This window comes from Homo sapiens, chromosome 8, assembly GCF_000001405.40.
Source record: "Homo sapiens chromosome 8, GRCh38.p14 Primary Assembly".
Lineage (NCBI taxonomy): Eukaryota > Metazoa > Chordata > Mammalia > Primates > Hominidae > Homo > Homo sapiens.
In genome coordinates, this window is record NC_000008.11 from 48,857,419 (window position 1) to 48,861,084 (window position 3,666).

General features: G+C 48.6%; 1 annotated feature.

Moving 5' to 3' along the window:
- Nucleotides 886–1,386: an enhancer, noted in NCBI's record as "H3K4me1 hESC enhancer chr8:49770863-49771363 (GRCh37/hg19 assembly coordinates)". NCBI's record gives its function as "activates a minimal SCP1, AML or CMV promoter by ChIP-STARR-seq in naive H9 embryonic stem cells {active_cell/tissue: H9 hESC(naive)}" and the evidence as "EXISTENCE:reporter gene assay evidence [ECO:0000049][PMID:30033119]".

The window sequence follows — 3,666 nt, forward strand, 5'->3', positions numbered from 1 at the left end:
TAAGATACCTCTGCACAATGGAGTATTATTCAGCTGTAAAAAAAGAAGGGAATTCTGCCTTTGCAGTAACATGGATGAACCTGAAGGGCATTGTGCCATGTGAGATGGGCCAGACACAGTAAGACAAGGAATGCCTGATCTCACTTCCATGCAAAATCTAGAAAAGTCAGGCTCACGGAGGCAGAGTGGAGTGCTGGTTGCCAGGGGCTGAGTGGAGGGGAACGTAGGTCAGAGGGTGCAAATGTTCAGTTCCAGAAACCTAACACACAGCATGGTGACGGTGGTTAATAATACTGCATTGTATATATGAAATTTGCAAAGAGCATAGATCTCAAGTGTTCTCACCACACACACACACAAATCATACTACGTGAGGTAATATGTGAAGTAGCTGGATTGTGGCAATCATTTCACAGTGTATACATATATCAAAGCATCATTTCGTGCACCTTGCATGTACACAGTGTTTTATTGTCAGGCATACCTCAATAAAGATGGAGGGACAAGAAGATCATGGCTCAGACTCACAGGTTCAGATGCCATCTCCACTACCTACTGGCCATAACAAGGCACGAAAGCCCTGCCAACACCCCAATTTTAGCCCAGTGAGACCCGTGTTGGGCTTCTGACCTCTGCAATTGTGAGACAACAAGTTTGTGTTGTTCTCAGCCCCTCGTTCACGTGGTGCATTTACAGGGATAGTGAACACGTAATTGAGGGGCTGTGGGTTCAGATCAAGCTGGAGCCTGAGACACAGTCAGCGAGTGGTCCTGGGACCCGACAGAGCTGCACAGAAGGCCAGGGACTGGGGTTGAATGCAGCTGTCCAGACCAGCCACACCAGCTCCTCTCAGAATCAGGTGGCGCAGATGGGGATGGGCACAGCAGGTGTGGATGCTGTGAGATCTGGCCAAATGCCGGCAATGTGTAGGACCTGCTGGGAGGAGAGGCCATGGGCTGGGAGGAGCAGAGAAAGAGGAGAAAAGGTGAGTGGAACTGGGGGACCACAGCACACATGAAGCCTTGCCAGGGACAGTGTCACCTCCATTGTGAGAGCACAGACATGAAAGCCAAAGGCAGGCACACCATGTTCCAATCACAGGCAACACCTGAGCATTGGGATTAAGATAGAATGTTGGAGGAACATTATTATTTACTGTGTTGAAGAGGGCTTTAGTGCCCCCAACCGTTACATAACTGCACTTTTTTTTTTTTTTTTAGTTGGAGTCTTGCTCTGTCGCCCAGGCTGGAGTGCAACAGCGTAATCTCGACTCACTGCAACCTCCCCATCCCAGGTTCAAGTGATTCTCCTGCCTCAGCCTCTCGAATAGCTAGGATTACAGGCATGCGCCACCATGCCCAGCTAATTTTTGTATTTTTTTTTAGTAGAGACGGGGTTTCTTCATGTTGCTCAGGCTGGTCTCGAACTCCTGACCTCAGGTGATCCGCCTGCCTTGGCCTCCCAAAGTGCTGGGATTACAGGCGTGAGCCACTAGGCCTGGCCATAACTACATTTTTAAAATGTCAACCGATAATAACTACCTTTAATTAATTCAGAGTCAGATGGTGCAAATGGTCTAAGAAGCCTAATCATTTGGTAACCTTTAAAATTGGTGTATTATACTTCAAATATATTTCTCATTTATCTAGCTGGGAGAGGAAGAGAGCAAGTGTTTTACTAGTAAATAAAAATGTGATTAACTAGAAAATATTTACTGAGCATCTATTTATGACAAGTACAGAGTGTTATGAGCTGGAGATACTGTCTGTCAGAGCAAACAGGGTCTGTAGGAACAGCTCCACTGGCCAAATCAGTTATTATTATAATAAATGTATATTATTCACATTCCATACATATGTATATCTCTAGCTTGGCCCCACAGGCCTCACCCAGATGCCCCTTCTAGCCTTTCAATTGATCGGCCACTTCTCAGGCCCATCCTAGGGATAGTGAACACTTTGAGGGGTGCCATCAGGGTCCCTTCCGGGAGCTGTGAGCAGGGCCACCGTCAGCAGTCCTGCTGCTCCCACCTCCCAGTGCTGCTGCACATGTTGATACGCTTTTTGTTTTTTTGGTGGGTGCCATCTCCTTCCAACCCCTAAATAAGCAAAAAGCACCTCTGTTCTAGAATTCCCCTCGGTTATCTGAAAGTTGCCTGTGCTGACCCTCCGCCAGGCCAAGGCCCAGATAAGGGAGATGGAAAGCCCCGTGACCACCCCCAGGCACAGCTTCCTCTACCTGCGCCACCAGCAGCCATGGCCAAGCATGGTCACCGAGATCTGTGTTGTCTTTACTCAATGAATGAAAGCTGAGGCCTCAGTCTCCCTAACTGGGTTCTCATTTTCTCATTGAACCAACATGTAGCTGTGTCTGCTCTTCCCCTGGAGCCTCTGGCCTTGTGAGCCCCTGTCCTGGGCCATTAGTGGGACCCTCGGGTGGGTTCCTGAGGTGCGTGAGGAATGTGGAGCATGGTCAGTATGACACAGGCTGGCTCGCATATCTTTTGTCCTGCTGCAAAGTCCTGCTGTGCTTGCAAGAGTCAAGGGTGAACCACATCCAAGTTCCTTTCTATCTGTGTAGCCTCTGAATAATATTAAGTGTCTTCCTCTACCCACAGGACTCCTGTCCTCTTAGGGGTGAGTGACAAAGGAAAGGTTAGAAACACTAAAATGCAAAAGAGAAAAGCATGTTCATGTTTTCCCAAATCAAGTCCCTATGACAGTGCTATGAGAACAGAGCCACGTTCAGCAATTCCCTGAACAGTCTGTGCCTTTGTTTCTTCTTCTGTAAAATGTAGGGATGTGGGGAAGAGCAGAGATGAGTGTGCCATCTGGCCAGCACCTGAGATTCTGTAACAAACTGTTGTTACTGATGGGTGATAGCAGTGTCTGCGTCTGTATAGTGGGGAGGTGTTCAGGGAGAAATTCCCAGGCAGAAGTGGGTGATATTTCATTATCCAGTGATGCCTGTGACACATCTTCAGAGCTACCCTGCAAAGTCCCTGGACTATTTTTAGTTTAATTGGACAATGTAATTTATTATAAGATTTAGCAGAGTCTCCACTTCAAGTGTCTTTTCAAAGAGACCGCATGCTTTAAAACCCCGACTTCACCATGCCGTGAATTGCTGTTGGCTGAGAAGTCACTCTTTACTATTTGATACCATTCTTCTGTGGACCCTCTAGTGTAATACATCCCTAGAGAGGATCAACAATCTGGGAACCTGAAAGATTAGTGGACCTCTGCTTTACGAGGCGCACCTTAAACCCCTGTGACAAAGGTTTTTGTAAAAGCGAAACACAGTTCACTAGCTCTGTGGTGGGCCCTGGGATTCGGTCTAATGACAAGCTGCTGGCCACGGTGCTGCTTCTGGTCTGCAGGTCCCATGGCGACTGGAGTGGGGCATGCCAGGTCTGACTGCTGTGGCTTGATAGCAGTGAGTGGAGTGTCCTTATTCACACCCGCCTGCTGAGATGGGACCCATTGTAGCAGCGTGGGTGCCGAGCACACCCCTTAGTGCCCTCGGTCTCCTGCAGCTGGAGCTGATGGAGGGTGTGTTGGGTCCCAGCTAGGGCCACTGCTGTGGTTCGGGGCAGCAATAGGATTCTCGGACTTTGGTGTGCAGTGCAGGGCTTCCCAGCTAGTTCATTCTGCTGTTGCTCTGTCC